This window comes from Homo sapiens, chromosome 17 (assembly GCF_000001405.40).
Source record: "Homo sapiens chromosome 17, GRCh38.p14 Primary Assembly".
In the NCBI taxonomy this organism is placed as follows: domain Eukaryota; kingdom Metazoa; phylum Chordata; class Mammalia; order Primates; family Hominidae; genus Homo; species Homo sapiens.
Window position 1 is genome coordinate 77546040 of NC_000017.11, and position 24337 is coordinate 77570376.

Genomic DNA, 24337 nt, shown 5'->3' on the forward strand with positions numbered 1-24337 from the left:
CTGCTGATGCCTTGACTTGAGTGCAGTGAGACCCAAGCCAGATTTCTGGCCAAAAGAATTTGTAAGATAATAAATGTGTTTTAGTTTAAGCCACTGGATCGGTGGCCATTTGTTACGGCAGCAGTAGAAAAGGAATCCACACACCTGTTTACATGTTGGCATTGTTGTGAGAAAAACTGACCAGGAATCCAAACAGGCAATTCAGAATGACTGACTGACCATCAGTCAATGCACTGCACACTGTGGACCAAACTGAACTGTGTAAGACATGCATCCTGCCCCTGAAGAGTTTGCATTTCACTTGGGAAGTCAAGACACACACAAATAGAAGAGAAATATTAACAATTTCTAGGGCACAAAAACGTATTTATTTATTTATTTTGAGACATAGTCTCGCTCTTTCACCCAGGCTGGAATGCAGTGGCAACATCTCGGCTCACGGCAACCTCTGCCCCCAGGTTCAAGCAATCCTCCCACCTCAGCCTCCCCGAGTAGCTGGGACCACAGCGCCCACCACCGTGCCCGGCTAATTTTTGTATTTTTAGTAGAGATGGGGTTTCACCATGTTGACCAGGCTGGTCTCAAACTCCTGACCTCAAGTGATCCTCCTGCCTCGGCCTTCCAAAGTGCTGGGATTACAGGCGTGAGCCACAGCGTGCAGCCTAAGGCATGAAAACTTAATGACAAAGCTGAGGAGTTCAACTTTAAACAGTGCATGCACCCACCAGGGGTGACTCGGAGCTTTCACTGGAGGAAGGAGTCTGGGCCTTAAACGCAGGAATCCTCCAGGGAGAGCTGGGATTTAATGAGGGTGGGGGAGTTTCCCTTGGGCTTATGCAGTGCAGTGGGGTGGGGCTGGAAACAGCACTGGGAGGGGCTGAGCAGAAGCCACAGCGGGGCAGAACAAAGGCCTGGAGACTGGAGCGAGCTGCGTTCTTGGGGGTGGGGGGTGGGGCGGCAGCTGGAGAGTGGGGGCTTCCCCAGCGGGAGAGGGAGGACGATTCTGGATGGCTTCCCTCCTTGTGGACAGAGTGAGTCTCTGCTATGAGAAAGGTAGGAGCTCTTTCAGCTCCGGCTGAGAATGCTAGTGGAGCCGGCTGGAGGGAAGGGGCTCTCCGGGCATGAGTGGCAGGGTGGCTGTGCTGATGACGGCACCAAGAAACCTGCCGGCTTTCTAGATGCTTCCTCTTATTTCTTTCCTTGTCTCAAGGCCTCCATTTTTGCTTCTGTAAGTTTTCCTATGCAAGTTTTGAGGTACAGGAGTGTTTGTGCCACCCCAGCATGTGTGGTTTCCTGGTGCTAGGGGCAGGGGAGGGCCTTGCAGGAGTGGGGTGACCCTTTGCAAAATCCTGCAGCGGGTGGGGGAGCTGGATCCTTTTTTTTTTTTTTTGAGACGGAGTCTCCCTCTGTCGCCCAGGCTGGAGTGCAGTGGTGCAATCTGGGCTCACTGCAAGCTCCGCCTCCCGGGTTCACGCCATTGTCCTGCCTCAGCCTCCCCAGTAGCTGGGACTACAGGCGCCGGCCGCCACACCCGGCTAATTTTTTTGTATTTTTTTTAGTAAAGATGGGGTTTCACCGTGTTAGCCAGGATGGTCTCGATCTCCTGACCTCGTGATCCAGCCTCCTCGGCCTCCCAAAGTGCTGGGATTACAGGCGTAAGCTACCATGCCCAGCCTGGTTTTGTTTTTTGAGACAGGATCTTGCTCTGTTGCCCAGGCTGCATTGCAGTGGGGCAAGCATAGCTCACTGCAGCCTCAAACTCCTGGGCTCAAGTGATCCTCTTGCCTCAGCCTCCCAAGTAGCTGGGACTATAGGCATGCGCCACCATGCTCGGCTAATTTTAAAATGTTTGGTAGAGATGGGGTCTCCCGAGTAGCTGGGACTACAGGCGCCCGCCACCACTCCCGGCTGATTTTTTTGGATTTTTTTAGTAGAGACGGGGTTTCACCGTCTTAGCCAGGATGGTCTCGATCTCCTGACCTCGTGATCCGCCCGCCTCGGCCTCCCAAAGTGCTAGGACTAACAGGCGTGAGCCACCGCACCCGGCCAAGCTGGATCTTAAGCTTGCTTACCGGTGACTTGTTGACCTCATCTTGGCTCAAAGAAGACACGGCCCCAGGTGAGTGCCTGGAGGTTATTTCCCATGTGATGCCTGTTCCAGGGCAGGAATGTTAGCTCTGTGCTGGCCACCAGAGAAGAAACTGGTGGCCTGGTGACCGCCAGGCCTCTGCCTGCAAGGCTAAAGACCTCTGACAGATATTAGGGGGCAGGATGTGAGTTCAGATGGAAGCAGTCGGATCTTCCTGACCCTGCCTTACCTGGCAGTATCCACCTGCAGCCTCTGCACCTCCTGCCCAGCTGCCAACAACACCTGTGAGCCTGACGGCGTGCCCCACCCCCTCCCCAGGTGGGCGGTCTACGGCAGGCCCCGCCCACCAGCTCTGGCGCATGCGGCATGGCCTCAGCGTCTCCCTTCCTGAGCGGACGGCCCACCCCGGAATTAGCCTCTTCTCTCCCAGGTCTGTGCAATGCCCAGCTCCTCCTCTCCTGGCCGGCCTGGTCTCTCTTCTGGTCCCTTTCCTCACCGGGCTTTGGGGTTCTAGGGTCCTTGAAGAGATGGAGACCAGTCAGCCAACTTCAAGGTGGAGGAGTTTGGCTGGAACGAGCAGGTGTGTCTAGTTGGCTGGTGCTAGGGAAAGGGGAGGGCCCTGCAGGGGCGTTGCACCTGTGGAGTAAGCCTTTGCAGAATCATACAGTGGGTGGGTAGGGGGGCTGGATCTTAAGCTTGCTCACTGGTGACCTGTTGGGGCTGGACTGCCTGAGGCTCCCCCTTTGGCTAAGAATCAGGTGTGGGAGCTACGCCTGCTCCCTGGGAGGGCAGTTCCATAGGGATGGAGCCTGAGCATCTGAATTTCCAAAGCTCTGCGGTTGACTCTGATGGACAGCCTGGGCCGAGACCCCCAGGCAAGGCTTCTGGAAAGAGTTGGCCCCGCTCACAGACGGGGAACCTTCTCTGGAACCTGCCCTGGCAGGAGTGCTGTTTTGGGAACGTGGGTTTCAGACTCACACCTCTCTGGGTTTGAGCCTTGGCTCTTCCCTTAATGACCCTGTGACTTTAGACCAAGACTTCCCCTTTCTGAGCCTCAGAGTCCTTACCAGCGAAATGGAAGGAGTTCCTCCATAGCAGAGCCTGCCTGAGGTTGCTTAATTAATTAAGCAGAAAAAATGTTGATTGTAAAAATGGGGGGTTCCCTAGGGCCACAGGACCCTTGAGTTCAACTGGATGCTGGACTCTAGGTGTCTCCTTCCTCTGCCTTCTAGGCCTATCAATTCATAGACCGGGCACCCAGGGAAAGACCAACCTCCATGTGTGTCTGTTCCAAGTTCCCAAGTTAGGACCTCTGCTGGCTCCTGGTCCTTCACCTGTGCACAGGGGCCTCCTGTACAGTGCAGGGACTGTGGTTTCCCTGCAAGCGCCTGTTGTACTGAGGAGTTGCTAGCTCTGTGCAGAATACTGCCACGCGGAGCTGGAGGGCAGAGGCACGTCCTCCCAGGTGATGGGGCATCCTCTTAATATTTGGAGCACAGACAGGACAGTGGCAAGGAGGGTATGGGCCCCGCACACGGACAGGAGTAGTCTGGGCATTGCCCTCGGCCTGTCCCCCGGGCCAGGCACCAAGGGCGCAGAGGGAGAGTCAATTTCTCTAAGTGGAAGGAAGAAGCACTCTTCCAAGGGCTCTGGGCTTTGAAGGCCTTTCCTTAAACGAACAGGAGAGTTTATTTATCTTCGGTCAAGCTGTATAAATGTCAAAGGGCTGGCGACCCCTTTTAACTTGCAGTGCAGGGATGGCTAGGTTATTTGCTCATGAGTCTGGAAGAGCCCCAGAGGGGAGGGCTTGAGCCCTTTGCCTGTCTGTTCACATAATCCAGACAGAGTAGATGGCCCATGATGGCTGCCACTAAGTGACACCTGGCACGACTTAGGTGGCTTCAACACTGTCCTCCACTCAGCACACCACTCCGCCTACTGTTTCTCTGTTTCTCCCCCTTTTTCCCTTGGCTTGTCTCTTTTTTTCTTCCCCCCGCCTTTCCACTGTAGCTGTTATCAATCACGATCCCCGCCCACCCCACCATGCGCATTTATCAGCCCTCATGAATGACCAGAGGCTGTGGGCATGTGGAGATGGCGTCTCTTTCCAACCTCAGTTCCTGCCATCTCAGTGATGGCCCCAAACCTCTAGGCAGGAAAGAACAGGGACCATGGGAGGCATTGGATGGGCACATGGGACCCCAGCCTCCAAATGCAGAGCTTCAACTTGCCAGCAACATTTTTTTTTTTGTTTTGAGATGGAGTTTCACTCTTGTTGCCCAGGCTGGAGTGCAATGGCGTGATCTCGGCTCACTGCAACCTCAGCCTCCCGGGTTCAAGTGATTCTCCTGCCTCAGCCTCCAAGTAGCTGAGATTACAGATGACCGCCACCATGCCTGGCTAATTTTTGTATTTTTAGTAGAGATGGGGTTTCACCATGTTGGCCAGGCTGGTCTCAAACTCCTGACCTCAGGTGATCCACCCACCTCGGCCTCCCAAAGTGCTGGGATTACAGGCATGAGCCACTGCACCCGGCTCAGCAACATTTTTTTACATTAGGAGGGGAAAAGGCAATGGGGCTGCATAGAAAGTCTAAACACTACATCTACGGACTAAATCATTTAAAAAATAACTTGCGTATGACTTATGTTAATTATTTTACTTGACATTAACACACTTACTTGATCCACATGTCCTGTTTGTTGATAATAAATAAGTTATACTGCTATGACAAATGTGTATATTTTTTCTTTTAAACATTTTTAAAAGAGATGGGGGGTCTCACTATGTTTCCCAGGCTGGTCTGGAACTCCTGGACTCAAGCAATCCTCCCACCTTGGCTTCCCAAAGTGCTGGGATTATAGGCGTGAGCCGCTGCACCTGCCCTGACAAATTTATATTTTAATGAGTTCAATCTGAACTGACTTCCATACATGTTCTTTTCAGTCAGGGTGATGGAGGTATAATTTGCATACAATAAAATTTTTGCATTTTGGCACACAGTTCTGTGCGTTTTGATAAATGCAGGCAGTCGTTCAACCAGCCCTGTAATCAAGATGTGAACAGTTCATTTGCTCCTCCCAAAACATTCCCTCATGTTCCTTTGTAGTCAAAACTCCCTCTCTCCTTGGTCCCTGGAAACTAATCATCGGTGATCTTTCCCTATAGTTTCGTCTTTTCCAGAATGTCATAGAAATGGAATCATATGGTAGGTAGCCCTTTGAGTCTGGCTTTTTTTCCTTAGCATAATGCATTTGAGACTCATTCATGCTGGTGTGTATAACAGTAGTTTGTTGTTATTACTGAGTAGCATCCCATTGTATGGATGTACCACAGTTTATCTGTTTACCAAGTGAATGATGTTTAGAATGTTTCTGTTTCATTTTGTTTTGTTTTTTTGAGACAGGATCTTGCTCTGTTGCCCAGGCTGCATTGCGGTGGTGTGATCATAGCTCACTGCAGCCTCAAACTCCTGGGCTCAAGTGATCCTCCTGCCTCAGCCTCCCAAGTAGCTGGGACTACCGGCATGTGCCACCGTGCTTGGCTAATTTTAAAATTTTTGGTAGAGCTGGGGTCTCACTCTGTTGCCCAGGCTGGGCTTGAATTCCTGGGATCAAGTGATTCTTTTGCCTTGGCCTCCCAAAGTGCTAGGATTACAGGTGTGAGCCACTGTGCCTGACCTGCTTCTGGTTTTTAAAGATGAATAAGGCTGCTGTGAATGTTGACATACCGGGTTTTATGGGAACATATGGTCCCAGTATGGACTCTTGGGTTGTGTAGTACATGTATGCTTAACTTTGTAAGAAATGGCTGTACCATCTTGCATTCCCAGCAGCAATGAATGAGAATTCTGTATCTCAGCCAATACTTAATAGTATCAGATTTTTAAAAAATTCTAAGGCAGGGTGTGGTGGCTCATGCCTGTAATCCCAGCACTTTGGGAGGCCAAGGAAGGCAGATTACCTGAGGTCGGGAGTTCGAGACCAGCCTGGCCAACATGGTGAAACCCCGTCTCTACTAAAAATACAAAAATTAGCCATGCGTGGTGGCGCGTGCCTGTAATCCCAAATACTTGGGAGACTGAGGCAGGAGAATCGCTTAAACCTGGGAGGCGGAGGTTGCAGGGAGCCAAGATTGCGCCATTGCACTCAAGGTCTCCCACCTTTGCTACCACTAGAATTTGTAACATCGACGAGTGCAAACCTGATTTTCTCTGGGTCCCAGGGTCCTTTTTCTTCCCCCTGAAGATCACCTCAGTTTTTGAAAAGGTGCCCTGGAGGTTCTGCTGTTCTTTAGCTTTGATGGGTTCTGCAAACCCTGTGAGCTCCTCAGTGCCCAGCAAGCCTGTGAGCATGACTTTTGTGAGCTCTGCCAGATGAACGGCTTAGAAGTCCTGGAGAGAGGCACTGGGAAAGCATTTCCATGCTCCTCCTTCCTCTTGGATGGGATGTGGCCAGAGAACACAGAAACCTACCAGTGAATAAAGAGAACTCAGTTCTCTACCCTTGGAACCATCGAGGAGCTGGGATTTGCTTTAGAGAGGGGCAGCCCTTGGCATCTCCATGCTGGGAGTGGAGCTTCTGGCTTCTTAAGAAGTTGGTTACAATAGGCAGCCTCTGTGCTTTGGCCTGTTTGGATGTTTTCTGCTGTTCTCAGGTGGAAAAAGCAGATTTTGTTGCTGCCTACCTTTTGAAGACCAGGATGGAATGGAGCTACCTTCTGGGCACTTTCCTCAAAAGGGCCTGTGTGTTCTGGAACCAGGGCCTTCTGATGCATGAGAACCAAGGCAGCTAGTGTGTGTGTGTGTCTGTGTGTGTGTGCGTGCGTGTGTGTGCTCATCTCTAAAATCTGCCTATGGCAAGTCTCAGGTGGCTGCTGGCAGCTCCTTGGGGCTCCCTGCTGTTTTGGGTCATGTCTAGTAACAGAGAGCTTCTCTTTTCCAGCGTTTCAGGCAAAGGTTCCTAGCTTCGCACTAATTGGTCTGGGTTGGTTGATGTGCCTACCTTTGAACCCATTCCCTGTGGCAAAGGGATGGGAAATTCACTGACTGGCTTAGCGTGGGTCTTGCGCTGTATCCCTGGACCCAGGGATGGAGTCAGCCTTCTGAGACCAACACAGATCCCCAATTTAGAAATGGAGGCTGAGCTGGGCTCGGTGGCTCATACCTGTAATCCCAGCACTTTGGGAGGCCAAGGCAGTCAGATTGCTTTAGCTCAGGAGTTCAAGACCAGCCTGGGCAACATAGTGAGACCTCTGCCCCTTGTCTGTACAAAAAGTTAAGAAGCAAAGCATGGTGGCACATGCCTGTGGTCCCAGCTAGTTGGAAAGCTGAGGTGGGAGGTTGGCTTGAACCCAGGAGGTCAAGGCTGCAGTGAGCCGTATTGTGCCACTGCACTTCAGCCTGGGCAACAGAGCGAGACCCTGTCTCAAAAAAAAAAAAAAAAAAAAAGAGAGAGAGAAACAGAGGCTGTTGGGAAAAGGGCATAAAGGGCATGGATGCTAGAGAGGAGATCAACAGGTATTGTCTTATGAAGGTTGGGAAGGTCAAGGGCAGGTGGCCACATCCTTTGAGGTAGATGCTCACAAGAGGATTGTGCAGTGTGCAGGTAGAGGCCCACACTGGGTGTGAGTGTGCAGTGTGCAGGTAGAGGCCCACACTGGGTGTGAGTGTGTAGTGTGCAGGTAGAGGCCCACACTGGGTGTGAGTGTGTAGTGTGCAGGGGTGGTGCCCACACTGGGGAGTGTGCAGTGTGCAGGGGAGGTGGTGTGTTGGCCTAGGGACTGTTGGTGCCTCTTACACTCAACACCAGCAGGAAGATGGCCTCGACTCAGTGACCATGTGGGTTGGGCCGAGGGCAAACACAAAGACGGAAGCCAGCCCTTGTCTCTGGGGAGCTTAGCTAGGGTGCCCTGGTGGGAGACAGGCTTCCTTTCTCTCAGTTTCCTGGATCCTCTTCAATAAAGAGCCCCCCTCCACGGTTCTGCCCCTTACCAATGTTGTTTCTAGCTCCATCCCATCCTTCTACACCCAGAGTGTTGCTTTTTTTTTTTTTCTGTGGCGGAGTCTCACTCTGTTGCCCAGGCTGGAGTGCAGTGGCACAATCTCGGTTCACTGCAAGCTCTGCCTCCTGGGTTCACGCCATTCTCCTGCCTCAGCCTCCCAAGTAGCTGGGACTACAGGCACCTGCCACCACGCCCAGCCAATTTTTTTTTGTATTTTTAGTAGAGACGGGGTTTTACCGTGTTAGCCAGGATGGCAGAATGTTGCTTCTAATCAAAGCAATTCTTGCACATGGGAACAAGTTCCAGCACAGGGGAGCCCGTGATGGCAAACCACGGCTGTTGAGTGTCTACCCTTATATTTCTAAATCAAATGCTTAGCTTTAAATAGCATCGCTGACCTGACTGTGGACGTGAGTTTCTAGCATACTCTGACCATGGTCCTTTGTATTGCTTGACATCTAATTGTTTTATTGTCTGTCTTTGCAATTAAGAAAAATCTATTGTTAGAAATTCTTCACTTTGGGAGGCTGAGGCAGGCAGATCACCTGAGTTCAGGAGTTTGAGACCAGCCTGGCCAACATGGCGAAACCCCATCTCTACTAAAAATACAAAAATTAGCTGGGCATGGTGGCACACGCCTGTAGTCCCAGCTACTCAGGAGGCTGAGGTAGGAGAATTGCTGGAACCCGGGAGGTGGAGGTTGCAGTAAGCCAAGATTGAGCCATTGCACTCCAGCCTGGGTGACAGAGCAAGACTCCCTCTCAAAAAAAAAAAAAAAAAAAAGAAAAGAAATTCTTTATTCTTCTACTTATTTCATCAACATTAGGTCATCTACTGGAAAACATCATGCAGACTGCCACTGGGAGCCAGGGTCAGACTCTCTGGTTTCAAATCCTAGGGCCTCTGTTTTCTCCTCTGTGAAAAGAAACTAACAATCAAATCTACCACCTAGGGATGTCTGGAGGATTCCGTGGCCAAGGCACATCAAGGGCTCAGCCAGGTGGAGACCCGCGATTTGGGCCCGTGGGGTGGAGCTGATCCCTGGGCGACCTCCAGTCCACAGGCCATGGCCCAGAGGGCAGGAGAGGTGTCACTTTCGTGGCCCCTCAACCAGGCCTGGGATGGCTGTTTTGTCTGAGCACACCAGTCTTGCCCAAGTCTGAATGTTCAGCCCTCCTTGTGCCCAAGATCCTCTGCAGGGGAAGAGAAAAAGAGAGCGAGAGCGAGCACGCCCGGGAGCTGGGCGCCCGGGAGCTGGGTGCCCGGGAGCTGGGCGCATGCACACTTAGCATGTCCTCTGCGTACCCAGTGCAGCCGCTGTTAAAAATAGAACTGTGCTTTGCAGAGAGATTCTCAAATGACACCCACCAAGTGCCCATTAACTCATCAAAGTGGTGATTCCAAATTGATTATTTCGAGTGTAAGACATAATAACATGTTCATCATGGAAAATAATTAGCGGTGGAGTGGGGCCGGGATGGCCTGCTGCCTGCCTGCCTGGCTCCCCCCTGCAGCCGAGAGGGAGGGGTGGGTGGGCGCCAGGGCTTGATGTGGTTTTCACTGGGAGAGTTGGTGACTTACGACTAATACTCACCCTGCCACCCAGCCCCTCCCTTAGCCTGACTGGCCAGCCAGGCCCTCTCCCAGGCATGGTGTGGGTCTCCTGTAGCCCCCGAGCCCCCTCCACTCTGTCCTGGGCCAGCCTCTCCTTTTTGGCTCCTCCAAGTGGGCAGTAATTGGCTGGGCTCCAGCTGGGAGCCTGGGTTATGGTTGACACACATTTCTCACTTGCCGAGTGCGGGCAGCCGCTGCGCACCTTCACACCGTTTCCTTGGAAACCAAATTGCTTTGGCAGCATTCCACGGACACACACACACACACACACTCTCATGCACATGTGTGCCCCACGAGAAAATCAAGTGCTATGGGAGCTGTCATCTCACTTGCCCTCCACCCCTTTCCCCTGGAGCCCCTGTGCCCCTGCCAGGCAGCCCTAAACCCAGGCTGAGACCCCACAGGGGGATGGTTGGAAATGCTCCCCTCTGGGGAAGGCAGATGAAGCGTCTCCTAGAAGAGCCGGCGTCTGCTGAGGTAGCAGATTGAGCAAGATGTTTATGGGCACTTAGATGGGAAAATGGCTCCTGAGGGTGTGAGGAGAGCAGCCAGCTCATGAAATGAGGACGGGGCTCTGGAAGCCTCCCAGCATCCTCGGAGGGGGCTTTGGTCCAGATCCGTGTCCCTGGGGGCGAGGTGGGCTGTGCAGGAAGGGCCTCTGCAGCTGCTGCGCCCCTGCCCACCTCTCAGCCAGCTCTCTTCTCCCTTCCCACCTTCCCTTGCTGCTTTGCACGCCCCAGGTAGAAAACATCGTAGCAGGAAATACTTGGGAAAAGGCTGTCCTCGCCCTGATTGGGGGATGTCCACCGTCACCCGCTCCAGTCCTGGGAAGCTCATTCCTCCTGCTCAGCTCCAGCTGAGTCCTTCTCCTGGACTTGCCTTCAGCCAGAGACAGTGGGCTTCCCAAATTCATGCCGCCCTCCACAGGCAGCTTGCAGCCCACGCTGGCCGGTGCAGGGGATAAAGGCCTGTGCAGGAGATAAAGGCTGGGATGCCAAGAGTCAACTGGAGCAACCTTCCTCACCTCCTCCCCAGCTCCAGAGCTGCCTGTTAGGATGGCTGAGGCTTTGTTGCAGCTGCATTGCAGCTGGATGTCTCCAAACTCCTGCACGCGGATCTCCATCTCTGACTCAGCTCCCCAATGTCCTTCAGCTAACCGTGACCTTCCTTACTTCCATCCCTTCTTCCGTAATCCTTTAAACAGCTGCTATGTGCTGAGCACTGTCAACAAGACCAGGTTCCCATTTGCAGGGAGCGTGTGTTCTGGTCAGCACAGGTGGAAAAGAAACAGTAAAAAAAAAAAAAGAGGGCAAGAAGTGCCCCCGCAGGGTTGAAATAGGTGCTGTGCTAGCAATTGCCAGGGGTAGGGGCTTCTTTCTTTCTTCCTTTCCTTCCTTCCCTTCCTTCCCTTCCTTCCCTTCCTTCCCTTCCTTCCCTTCCCTTCCTTTCCTCCTTACCTTCCTTTTTCCCTTTCCTTCCCTTCTCTTTCTCTTTCTCTTTTTTTGAGGCAGAGTCTTGCTCTATTACCCAGGCTGGAGTGCAGTGGCGCAATTTTGGCTCACTGCAACCTCCGCCTCCCAGGTTCAAGTGATTCTCCTGCCTCAGCCTCCCAAGTAGCTGGGATTACAGGCACCTACCATCATGCCTGGCTAATTTTTGTATTTTTGTAGAGACGGGGTTTCACCATGTTGGCCAGGCTTGTCTTGAACTCCTGACCTAAGGTGATCCGTCTGCCTCAGCCTCCCAAAGTGCTGGGATTACAGGCGCGAGCCGCCGCGCCCGGCCTGCATCAGCACCCACAGTTCTTACAGGGGTCTGGACACTTAGGCACCTTCTGCTTGGCACACCCCAAAATTCCAGACTCCCAGAAGGAAAGCAGGTGCTCACCACGAGCCACATTTTTTACACACGTAGCCTAGGCACAGGGAGCCACGCTTGCGTTAGGGAATGGGCCACGCTTCTGCAATCGTGTCCCCAGATGCCGCCAAGGGCTGGCCTTCCAGGCAGGCCTTTCCAAGGGGAGCAGTCTTGGGCCAGAAATGGCAGCCCTTTCCTGGGCGGGGACAGGGACACCCTTCCACTGTGAAATCATTCCATTTTCCTGCCTAGGATTTAGTGCCTTTCATGTGTTTGGGTTCTGCCAGCTGGCGGGGAATCACGGGGCAATTTCAGTCACTCAAGTTTCTTTCCCAATCCAGGAGAAACCTCAAGTCTCACTAAGAAAGTGGTAGAAGGAGAGTAACAGGCTTGGTTTGCAGGGGGTGGGGGTGGGGGTGGGGGTCAAGACCCTTAGACGAGCTGCAGCTCCTTGCTGAGAACGTGCACACACTCAAAATTTGTGGGGGGCCCATGGTCCTCTGGGGCTCCTCCGGCACCCCAGGTGAAGCTTCTGAAATGGCTTTTCCACCTGGACAATCCCTCCCTCCCCAGGTGGAAGGTGAGGGGGTTCTGCTTCTCCCCGGGCAGAAGCAGAACCACAGCCCCTTTGTCCCCTTTGCCAGAGGCTTCAAGGGGCAGCGTCCCCCAGCGCCCCCCGAGCAAGCTCCCCATCTGACAAGGGAGGCCCTAGCTCATCCCAGAAGCATCAGAGTCATCCTTCACACTCACCACCATGCTGAGGACCCAGAGGGGCTCATGCCTCCAGTGTCAGACAGGATTGAGATCCAGGCTGTCTGGCTCCGGGGTCTTAGCCCTGACACTCGACTTCAGAGGGAGTTCTTGCCTGGGAGTGCCTTCAAAGCACAGTCCCTGGACACTTTCCCCTGCGACATTTAGTCCTTTAAGGAGGCTGTAAGCACGTTGACCTGCCCCAGAGCCAGTCGTGCCCTCACGTCCCTCAGGACGGCCCACCATGGCCAAGCACAGGCCAGAGAACAGCCTTGTTGTTGGCGTCAGGACTGTTGGCATCAGGGTCCTGCTTGTCAGGTTAGGAACGTGGTTCCTTTACCTGCACCTCCAGGTGATGCTGTCTCCATCCTTAGAACCTGAAGGCCTAGGTCCCTAAAAGTAGCAGCAGCAGCAGTAGTAGTAGCAGTAATAGTAGGAGAAGGAGGAGCTGAAGACCTCACAATAATCATTGCCCAACCGCGTGAACCAGCCCATCTTAAGCATGGAACACACACTGTCGAATTCTCACACCTCCTTTTGGAGCGGGTTCTCTCAATTATCCCATTTACAGACAAAGAATCTGAGACTCCAAGGGGCTAAATGATTTGCTCAAAGTCAGGGTAAGTGTGAGAACTGGAGCCGAAACCCAGCCTGCTGGACCTGAGCCCCTGACTCTCAACCTTAAGCCACGCTGTCTCCCATGGATCCCTCCAGGGCCAGGCAGTTGGTGCTCAATAATTGCATACTGCGTGGAGGTGAGCTGGGCTCTGGGTGTGGCCAGGTGGTGTCCCTGGAGGGCTCAGCACACCTTTCTCAGGTAGGTGGTATTAGGCAGTGGGCTCATGTGGTCCTGATTCAGAGGCGGAGAATGGGAGTGTTTCAGGGATGCAGGTATGAGCCTGGTCCTAGCACGCATCTCTAGGTGGGGACAGACTCCTCTCAGCCACCCCATTGCCCAGTGATAGTTCCTTTGCACTGATGCTGTCACATCCTTGTCATTCTGGGGGATTAAACTCTGCCCTCTGGATGTGTTCATGGGCAGCTCAGTAATACAAAGAAGTCATTCATAAGTTTACTTTGCTTTCGACTGCCCTTTCATGGTAACGTTGGTTCAAGGGAATCCTGTGATTCCCCAAATGTGGGGAGCAAATCGAGTCACCATGAGTCACCTCCCCAGGCTGATGTCTTCTCTGGCACATGTGGCCACGGGGGAGCCAGGATGGGTCTCCTTCCTCACTCCATCTGCTCGCTGGGTCTTGGTCTCAGGTGCCTCTTCCCTTCACTGCCTGTCTTTTATTCCTCTGTCTACCCTCTCCTCATACAGAAATTGGGATTTCTCATACAGAGAAATGGAGTGATTGCTCCTGATTGCACAGCCGGGAGGGCTGTACACTGGAGCCCCTCCTGCTGCAATTAACTTATTTTCCACCCCTGCGGTGTGTGGTTCCTGGAGCAACGCCTGCTACCTGCTTCTCTGCCCCATCCTCTGTGAGGAAGGGTCCATGCTGTTCCTTTTTCTGTCTCAAAAATGTGCTCATGTGCCCCAAGTTGTGTGAACCACCGACTCTGTGCTCCTTCCAGGCCCTGACCAGTGTGTTTGAGCATTAAAGCTCGCAGGTACATCAAAGGTGCTCAGTAAATGCTGGATAAATCAATCCATGCTTTCCTGGGCTCTCCTGGTGGGATGCATTCTTTTAGCTAAGCGTCCCTGCCAGGGGAGTGGTTGGTTTCCATGAGGCCAGAGGGGGAAAAGCTGGTTGACCCCTATCCTGGGCATTCAGAGTCATTTCCCGCTCCTTTCTGTGGCTGGAACCAGAAGAATATATCTCAGGTCTAATAGGGTATGGACTGCATAAAGCCTGGGATTTTTGTGCATTCTGTTCATGACAATGTCTCTAGCCTGTTGAACAGCCCATAGTAGGCACTCAGCAAACCAATAGGAACTGAGGGGGTCAAGGAAATGCCCTGTGATCCCCCTGAATCCAACCCCTCTGTCTTTGCCCACCTTTCCTCCGTTAAAACACAGCCTATATCAATGAGGGCCTGGGAGAAAACTGGGGTGGGGGAGGACTGTGCCTCTCTTGACCTTCATTTACAAAAAATAAGTTGGCTCCTAGACCCGTGTTGGAGCCACACTGCCCGGGACAGCCCTGAAGCAGCCACGTCCCCACCTTTCAGGAGTCGGCCAAGAGCACGGTGGCTGCAGAAGGCCCTGGCTGATGGAGATAACATTTGACAAACAGGGTGAGCGCCTTCCCCCTCCGCCCCTCTTTTAGAAACCCGGCGTTCTTTATGGCTTTGCTCAGGTAGATCATTCATTGCCATAAATTTTCTTATCTCCAGTGCTTTTCCAATTATGGATAACAACAGAAAAGCAGTCATTGGTTTCTAAAAGGTCATCAAGATATAAAGCCCGTTTGGGAAGGGAATGACTTACGCAGTGGGCTTGTATAAATCTGGAGAAGTTTTATGCACAAGTCGGACAAGAAATGTAAGTGAGATTCATAAAATATATAACGATTCATGGTGTCTCGGCTGATGAAAATTGTCTTTCCTTTTGCTGTTTGTGTGGGAATTATTTGTTCTTTCCAGGTGTTCTACATACGGCTCGGGAGCCAGCAAGTGCGTATGAAGCCCCTTCACATGGCTAGTGGCATCCTAAGGACCCGGCGACAATTAGTCATGGCGTCATCGAACACCAGGCTGGAGGAGGTCTTGGATGCCACAGCTCCTTTTGAATTTCAAAGACGTTCAAATCCCCATCTGGCTGTTACACTTTTAGGCTATTGAGAGTGAAAACAAGCACTGACATGAACACCCAACCAGCTGCCGGTGACATCGTCCCCTTCTGAGATCTGAGGACATGGATACCCAACCACCTGCCGGTGACATCGTCTCCTTCTGAGATCTGAGGACATGAACACCCAACCACCTGCCGGTGATATCGTCCCCTTCTGAGATCTGAGGACGTGGATATCCAACCACCTGCCGGTGACATTGTCTCCTTCTGAGATCTGAGGACATGGACACCAAACCACCTGCCGGTGACATTGTCTCCTTCTGAGATCTGAGGACATGAACACCAAACCACCTGCCAGTGACATCGTCCCCTTCTGAGATCTGAGGACATGGATACCCAACCACCTGCCGGTGACATCGTCTCCTTCTGAGATCTGAGGACATGGACACCCAACCACCTGCCGGTGACATCGTCTCCTTCTGAGATCTGAGGACATGAACACCCAACCACCTGCCGGTGATATCGTCCCCTTCTGAGATCTGAGGACGTGGATATCCAACCACCTGCCGGTGACATTGTCTCCTTCTGAGATCTGAGGACATGGACACCAAACCACCTGCCGGTGACATTGTCTCCTTCTGAGATCTGAGGACATGAACACCAAACCACCTGCCAGTGACATCGTCCCCTTCTGAGATCTGAGGACATGGATACCCAACCACCTGCCGGTGACATCATCTTCTTCTGAGATCTGAGGACATGGACACCCAACCACCTGCCGGTGACATCGTCTCCTTCTGAGATCTGAGGACATGGACACCAAACCACCTGCCGGTGACATCGTCTCCTTCTGAGATCTGAGGACATGAACACCCAACCACCTGCCGGTGATATCGTCCCCTTCTGAGATCTGAGGACGTGGATATCCAACCACCTGCCGGTGACATTGTCTCCTTCTGAGATCTGAGGACATGGACACCAAACCACCTGCTGGTGACATTGTCTCCTTCTGAGATCTGAGGACATGAACACCAAACCACCTGCCAGTGACATCGTCCCCTTCTGAGATCTGAGGACATGGATACCCAACCACCTGCCGGTGACATCATCTTCTTCTGAGATCTGAGGACATGGACACCCAACCACCTGCCGGTGACATCGTCTCCTTCTGAGATCTGAGGACATGGACACCAAACCACCTGCCGGTGACATCGTCTCCTTCTGAGATCTGAGGACATGAACACCCAACCACCTGCCGGTGACATCGTCCCCTTCTGAGATCTGAGGACATTGATACCCAGCCACCTGCCGGTGACATCGTCTCCTTCTGAGATCTGAGGATATGGACACCAAACCACCTGCCGGTGACATCGTCTCCTTCTGAGATCTGAGGACATGAACACCCAACCACCTGCCGGTGACATCGTCCCCTTCTGAGATCTGAGGACATGGATACCCAACCACCTGCCGGTGACATCGTCTCCTTCTGAGATCTGAGGACATGGACACCCAACCTGCTGCTGGTGACATCGTTCCCTTCTGAGATCTGAGGACATGGACACCAAACCACCTGCCAGTGACATCGTCTCCTTCTGAGATCTGAGGACATGGACACCAAACCTGCTGCCGGTGACATCGTCCCCTTCTGAGATCTGAGGACATGGACACCCAACCACCTGCCGGTGACATCGTCTCCTTCTGAGGTCTGAGGACAGACACTCACATGGACACCTAAACACCTGCCGATGATATTGTCTCCTTCTGAAATCTGAGGACATGGACACCCAACCAGCTGCTGGTGACATCATCTCCTTCTGAGATCTGAGGACAGACACTCACATAGACGCCCAATCAGCTGCTGGTGACATTGTCTCCTTCTGAAATCTGAGGGTTGGAACACATTGGCCTGGCTCAGTGTTTCTCCATGTGGTTTTGAGACCACCTGAGTTGGAACCGATATGGGTTCCCAGCCTCACGCCTGGAGAGCTGGATTTTGCGAGTGTGAGGTTAGGTCCAGCATCTGCATGTGTAACGAGCTCCCAGGTGTTTCGTAGATGCATTAGGGCTTGAGAAGCTCCTTTCTAGCACCATCTTCCTTTTTGCGCATGAGGGAGTTCAGGTCCAGAGAAATAAAGCAGCAAGGTTAGTGGCACAGCTGGCGCCCCCTGCTTTCTAGGAATTTAGAATATTATTGAAGAGAGAGGTATTAGAACCTGTGAAGTCAATACAGAGACCTCCAGGCGAGTGGCATCCTCACTGAAACCACTGACAAGTATGCTGAATAGAAAGTGTCATTTCTCCTGGAAGACCCTCAGTGACCCAGCTGGAGGGTCTCTCCTACTCATCAGCTGTCCCTCACTCTGCCATTTCAGCAGCTCTGCTCACCCTGAGCATGCAGAGAGAGCAGCTTTTAAATGAGTTCTAATCCAGACCAGCTTGGCTAGCATTGTCTGTGTAGAGGTGTGCTAGTAAGTCTAACAACTGGCTCTCTGAGAGAGAGTAGCCCTACCTAACTGGTAGCATTTGCCACTTCCCATGGTGTAAATACTCCCAGCATGGCCAACTTCAAGCTTACTAAGAGGATTTCGCTGATCATGGTTTTGGGGAGAGATGTGCAGATTGACTCCTGCCAGCTAGTAGGAGCCGGCTCCAGCACACCACGGCATCTGTGTCCAGGAACCAGGCTGAGATGTGGGAAGGCCAGAGAAGGAGGAGGCTGGCAGATGCCTGAGGGCTGGGAAGGATTGCATCCAGGAGGACGGCCGTGGTGGGCATCCCTGCATTGGGGGGCAGCCGGGCCCAAGATCCAGGGGGACAGAAAGCACAAATGGTGCTGGGGTTCAGTGCCACACTCACCCTGGGGCAGAGGAGGGTGACACTGGCCCTGCCACCTGACCTCAGCCTCAGGGGCTCCAGATCCTAGCCAGAGGCCTTGAGTGCTTCCTGCCACAAAGGCAGGGGGTGGCCTGGGATTTCCTCTCTGATCGGAGCTGATGTTTCCCTCCAGGAAACCATCCCTGCTCACCTTGCTAGGCCTGGGGCAAGTTGGAGTGAAGGGCAGGTCCCTCAGCCTTGCCTTTGAGACCTTACCTTCCACTTCATTCCCGTCTGTGGCTCTCATTCCTTCCCCACCCCTGCCCTATGCTCTGGTGAGAAGGTGCAACCCTGTGAGCCCCCATAGCAAGGTTCACTCCAGCCGTGCTTTCTGCTTGCTTTTGGTTTGTGAAAACCCTCCACTTTCTTAGAGGCCTTCTGCAAATGTCATTTCTTCATAAGGATCTTCCTACCCCGCCCGAGCCAGGGAGATCCCTCCCTTCTCTGAGCCTAGAGCACCATGTCCCTTCCCTGTAGCCCTGGTGACGTGCACCCTGGATGGTGGCCCTTCCAGTGACATGGAGGATGTTTTCCCTCTACAGACACTGTCTGGTTTTAGGATCCCGGAGCCAGGCATCTCGCTCACCCCTGTAGCCACCACAGCATTCAGCCCTGCAGCCTGGGACCTTGCTAAGGTCTTGCTTTACCCCTAAAAACCAAAAATAGTGTGTCACCTTTAGCAGTGATTGCCAACGCCTCTGGAGTGCTGGCTGGGACAGGCATCTCTATTTTCATCCTCACCAATCCTGCCAGGGAGCTACTCTGGGGAGCCCCATCCTGCTGATGAATGACCGAGTCTCGCAGCGATGACGGAACCTGCAGGTCCCAGGCTTGGGCCCAGGTCTGTCTTTCTCCAGGGGCCTCACATCCATCTCCTTCCCAGCTCTCCTTTTCTGTAAGACTTCACAGAACAGGTTCAAAATCCATTTGCTGGCCGAGCACAGTGGTTCACGCCTGTAATCCAGCACTGTGGGAGGCCTCGAGGCAGGTGGATCACCTGAGGTCAGGAGTTCGAGACCAGCCTGGCCAACATGGCGAAACCCCATCTCTACTAAAAATACAAAAAATTAGCCGGGCGTGGTATCAGGTGCCTGTAATCCTGGCTACTCGGGAGGCTGAGGCAGGAGAATCACTTGAACCCGGGAGGTGGATATTGCAGTGAGCTGGGATCATGCCATTGCACTCCAGCCTCGGCAACAAGAGTGAAACTCCATCTCGGACAAAAAAATCCATTTGCTAATACCAGGCTGAGGGTGAGCTGCTGTTCTCACCTGGGAGAGATGATTTGTCAGAACATGTCTTAAAACCGGCTGCTGCCATGCAGAGATAGCACATGACACGTGCCACCAGCCAGAGCCGCTAGTCCATGGGCCAGGTAGGGTCCTCCCCACCCCAGCTCCGGGAATGGGACCCCAGGATTGGCAACACCTGTGGATGCCACATGGGTCTGAGGTCACTGTGCAGTGCGGCGCTTGGGCAGTGACCTGGTCCTTTCACTCTTTCCTCCATACTTCCTTATCTCAAGGTAAGAAAGGAAGATTGACAACTCAGGCTGTAGAGTCAGAGAGTCCTGGGATCAAATCCCAGCTTAACCATATAATCTGTGTGACTTTGGGTGAATGATTGAAACGATCTGTGCTCCGTGTCACCATCCACACGGTAGGGATCACAGTTGGTCTCTGTCTCTGGGAGGTCTGTGGGCTTTAAATGAGACAGTAGAGATGAAGTGCTTAGAGCTGTGCCCCGTGCATGGCCAGTGTGCAATGAGATGGTCTCAGAGTATTATGGCTGGAGTCACCACTTGTATTACCAGGAAGCCCAGCCTCTGTGATTACAGGATTCCAACTATGGTGACTCTGCACCTCTTCCTTTTTCTCTTGCTTTCTCATTCGTCTTATTACCATTTGCTGAAATTAAATCAGAACACACAGGGGAAGCACCTATCCTTGCCCAGCACATAGTAGGCATCGTGCAGGAGTCTGTGAGTCACATGGTTTACTCTTGCCCTCCTCCCCATGGTTCCTAGCACGGTGTTGAATGTGTAGCAGGCCCTCCCTAATGGACCCAGGAGATCAGCCTGGGCACTCTCTCATTCTCCTCCTGCCTCCCACCCTTGATTCCCTCATAAGACAGCAGCACAAGTGACTTCTAGGGGAACCGTATTAGTCTGTTGCTAAGACCAGATAATTTATAAAGAAACGAGGTTTCATTGACTCACAGTTCTGCAGGCTGTACAGGAAGCATGGCTGGGGAGGCCTCAGGAAACTTACAGTAGTGGCAGAAGGCAAAGGAGGAGCAGGCGTCCTCACATGGCTGGAGCAGGAGGAAGGGAGAGAGCGGGGAGGCGCCATCACTTTTAAACAAACAGGTCTCGTGAGAACTCACTCACTGTACAGTCCCAAGGGGGAATGTGCCAAACCATTCATGAGAACTCCGCCCCTCTGATCCAGTCACCTCCCACCAGGTCCCACCTCCAACACTGGGGACTATAGTTCGACATAAGATTTGGGTGGGGTGGCAGATCCCAACCATATCAGAAAGGGTCTTTATGATCAGTGGAGAGTGGCAGGGAGGTGTGGACCATGGGGAGACACAGTCCTCCTGGACCTTGGAGTGAGAGGATTCAGTTTTAGCAAAAACAGGAGATAAGACTGTCTGGAATTGTCCTTCTGTGTGAATGACCCGCTCAAGGTCTCAAGGCAACTGCATGGCCCACCCGCTCCACTCATGGCCCTCTCACCCCCATTCGGCACCCCAGCCTTCTCCTTGTGGGGTCACCCCGCCCCACAGTCCGACCCGGGCTGGAGTGAAATCTCGGCTGACTGATGCGCCTTCACGGAAGATGGCATGGAGGGGATCCACTGTCCCCCTCAGGCCTCTTCTCCAAGACAAAGGACAGTCATGTACACTGGCTCACAGACCACAGAGATGCTGGTAGTTGGTGTGCAAGAGCATTTATCATGTTGGAGAATGACAAAGAGGGAGCAGGTGTCTGACCTGGGATGAGAGAACACGGAGCGGTGAAGGCACACCAGGGGTGGAGAGGGCAGAGACAGGCTGTCATTTTTCAGCACAATTTTCCTCCCTTTAATGTTCCCATAGATTATGGGACCGGATCATCTGATGGCCGAAAGAGATGTTTTATGGTGCCAGGGTGGAAGGTTTGAGGAGAGGGAAAAATGATTGTGAACTTTCTGTCCTACAAAGGCTCTCATGGTCTATAGAATACAAAGTTGATTTTGCTTTGCTTTTCTTGGAAATGTGCTAGAGAGGAGAAAGGTAAATAGGATTTACCAGCCTCCTCCTGCATGCAAAGCAAATGGAAAGAACCCTCCCCCCTTGAACCTCCGTTTTGCTTGGAAGAAGCGGGATGTGTCTTCTTGTTCCCCTTCAAGGGAGATTTAAGAGGTCCTCTCCTGGAACAGCACAGAGTTTAATGCTAAATACTTTTCAAAATCTTTTGGTCATCTACAGTTTTCTCTCCTCGGCTCTGCGGTCAGGAGGGTTTGAGGAAAGAGGTGGAAAGTTCTCTCTCCGAGGGACCCTGTCCCCAGGCCTCATGTGTTCCAGGGCCCCGTTTGCAGTTCTTGGCTGTATGAGTGAAAATCTTTATTGAAGAACCAGATTTCTTTTTTGCAAGGAGAAAAAAGAAAAGAAACCAATATCCAATTCAAGTAGGGGCCAACAAGCAAATGAAAACATGCTCAAATTGATTAGTTTTCAGGGACATTCAATTTAAAACCACATGAGATAGCATTTCATGCCCATTAGGACGGCTGGAGTCAAGACGGATGACAGCAAGTGTTGGTGAGTGTGTGGGGGGTTCAGAACCCTCGTGCCTTGCCTGTAGGAATGTGAAATGGGGCAGCCTCTTCGAAAAATGGTTTTGTAGTTCTTCAAAAAGTTAAACATGAAAGGCCAGGCATAGTGGGGTGGCTCACACTTGTAATTCCGGTACTTTGGGAGGCTGAGGTGGGAGGGTCACTTGAGCCCAGGAGTTTGAGAGCAGCCTGGGCAATGTGGTAAAACTCCATCTATACAAAAAATACAAAAACTAGCTGGGCATGGTGGTGTGCACCTGTAGTCCCAGCCACTCGGGAGGCTGAGGTGGGAGGATCGCCTGAGCCCAGGAATTTGTGGCTGCAGTGAGCCGTGATCATGCCACTGCACTCCAGCCTGAGAGACAGAGTAAGACCCTGTCTCAAAAAAAAGAAGAGAAAAAGTTAAACATTAAACTATCATATAACCCAGGAATTCTGTCCCTAGGTATATGCCCCAAATAATTGGGAACAAGTATGTTGTTTGTTTTTTTTTGTTTTTGTTTTTGAGATGGAGTTTTGCTCTTGTTGCCCAGGCTAGAGTGCAATGGCATGATCTTGGCTCACCTCAACCTCCGCCTCCCAAGTTCAAGCGATTCTCCTGCCTCAGCCTCCTGAGTAGCTGGGATTACAGGCATGCACCACCATGTCTGGCTAATTTTGTATTTTCAGTAGAGACGAGGTTTCTCCATGTTGGTCAGGCTGGTCTCAAACTCCTGACCTCAGGTGATCCACCCGCGTCGGCCTTCCAAAGTGCTGGGATTATAGGCATAAGCCACCACACGTAGCTGGGAACAGCTATTTAAACAAATGTTGTACACGAATGCCCGCAGCAGGACTACTGACAATAGCCCAAAACTGACAACAACCCAAATGTCTGTCAATGGATAAATAAATAAACTGTGGTCTATAAATACAATGGAATATTATTCAGCCATGAAAAGGAATCTAGTACTGACACATGATACGAGGTGGGTGAACCTCAAAAACATCACGCTAAGTGAAAGAAACCAGTCACGTGTTGTAGATCCTATTTATAGGAAATATCCAGCAGAGGGACACACGCAGAGACAAAAGGCAGATTGGGGGTTGCCAAGGTTGTGGGGAGGGGAAATGGGGAGTGACCACTGACAGGTACAGGGTTTTCTGTTGGGGTGAGTAAAATGTTTTGGAACTTGATTGATACAGCATTGTGAACATATAAAATGCTGCTGAATTGTTCACTATTTTTTTTTTTTCTTTTTGAGACAGGGTCTTGCTCTATCACCCAGGCTGGAGTGCAGTGACGCGATCACGGCTTACTGTAGCCTTGATCTCCCAGGCTCAAGTGATCCTCCCACCTCAGCCTCCTGAGTAGCTGGGACTATAGGCGTGAGCGACAACATGGAGCTAATTTTTTTATTTTATTTTTGAGATGGAGGCTTGTTCTGTTGCCCAGGATGGAGTGCAGTGGCTCGATCTTGGCTCACTGCAACCTCCGCCTCCCAGGTTCAAGCGATTCTCCTGCCTCAGTCTCCTGAGTAGCTGGGATTACAGGCATGCACCACCATGCCTGGCTAATTTTTGTGTTTTTAGTAGAGACTGGGTTTCATTATGTTGGTCAGGCTGGTCTCGAACTCCTGACCTCAGGTGAGCCACCTGCCTCAGCCTCCCAAAGTGCTGGGATTACAGGCATGCACCACTGCACCCGGCCAATTTTGTTTACTTTTCTTAGAGATGAGTTCTCACTATGTGGCCAAGGCTGGTCTCGAACTCCTGACCTCAAGTGATCCTCCCACCTTGCTTGGCCTTCCAAAATGCTGGGATTACAGGAGTGAGCCACTGCTCCTGGCCAGAATTGTTCACTTCTAAATCATTCATTTTATGTTATATGAATTTTACATCAATGAATAGATACATGTTTATGTCTATACAAAATTCAAGCAGGGCCCTGGGAAGCAGGCTGGGAGAGCCGGGCTGACTCAAGGGAAATTGTTGTGAATGGGTGAAGGGGAGGTTGGTTTTTCTTCAGAATTTCTTGCTTCCCCCATCTTAGTAATACAGGTGTGAGAAGAGCATCAGGTACTAGATAAACTCCTCCTTGGGAGTAACCTCGGACAGAGCCAAGAACGCAGGGGACACGAAATGGCATCTTACCAACCTTGCTTATCTTCTCTCCTGCTGCAAAATCCCCCTGCCCCCAATATGACCACCTGCCCAAATGTCCAGCCCTCCACCTAGGGAATAAGCTGGCCCGTGGGAACAGCACAGGTGAGGGGATGGCTCCAGGCAGCCAAGCACGTGGAAGGTGAGCCTGGCCCCCAGAGAGGCTGTGGCCCTTCTGTCTCCACCCACCTGTGGGCACCACGAGGGCCTGGCTGGGGATATCTGGTTCCTGCCATGGAGGTAGCCAGGGACAGCCCCTTAGGCTGGTTCCACAGTGGCGTCCATGGAGGAAAGGGTGAAACTCTCGGTGGTGCTGGGGTCCCAGGCAGCACGGGACCTTCGTGGATGGGATGGCGGACATTCTGCTACCTGCTCCGTTCCCCGGGATCACACCTCAGAGCTCTCCTTGCCGACTCCACTGTGGACTGGATTTTGAGAAGCCTCCTC

At 52.2% G+C, this 24337-nt stretch overlaps 1 protein-coding gene and 1 long non-coding RNA gene across 2 annotated transcripts, besides 2 other annotated features; one reads left to right on the plus strand and one right to left on the minus strand.

The window, feature by feature from the left end:
• Nucleotides 1-901: 901 nt before the first annotated feature.
• LOC100507351 (uncharacterized) lies at nucleotides 902-18985 on the plus strand. Its single transcript, NR_040050.1, has 2 exons — nucleotides 902-1053; nucleotides 14906-18985. It is a non-coding gene; the product is annotated as an uncharacterized LOC100507351 (long non-coding RNA).
• On the minus strand, nucleotides 12707-19855 carry LOC124904103 (uncharacterized). The gene is made up of 4 exons (XM_047437264.1): nucleotides 15829-19855; nucleotides 15670-15775; nucleotides 15124-15327; nucleotides 12707-12808 (listed from the first exon to the last, which is right to left on the minus strand). Exons 1-4 carry the CDS (start codon nucleotides 16740-16742, stop codon nucleotides 12707-12709), a joined length of 1326 nt encoding a protein of 441 aa, XP_047293220.1. The 5' UTR covers nucleotides 16743-19855.
• Nucleotides 17325-17825: an enhancer, noted in NCBI's record as "H3K4me1 hESC enhancer chr17:75559446-75559946 (GRCh37/hg19 assembly coordinates)". NCBI's record gives its function as "activates a minimal SCP1, AML or CMV promoter by ChIP-STARR-seq in primed H9 embryonic stem cells {active_cell/tissue: H9 hESC(primed)}" and the evidence as "EXISTENCE:reporter gene assay evidence [ECO:0000049][PMID:30033119]".
• Nucleotides 17826-18326: an enhancer, noted in NCBI's record as "H3K4me1 hESC enhancer chr17:75559947-75560447 (GRCh37/hg19 assembly coordinates)". NCBI's record gives its function as "activates a minimal SCP1, AML or CMV promoter by ChIP-STARR-seq in primed H9 embryonic stem cells {active_cell/tissue: H9 hESC(primed)}" and the evidence as "EXISTENCE:reporter gene assay evidence [ECO:0000049][PMID:30033119]".
• Nucleotides 19856-24337: the final 4482 nt, after the last annotated feature.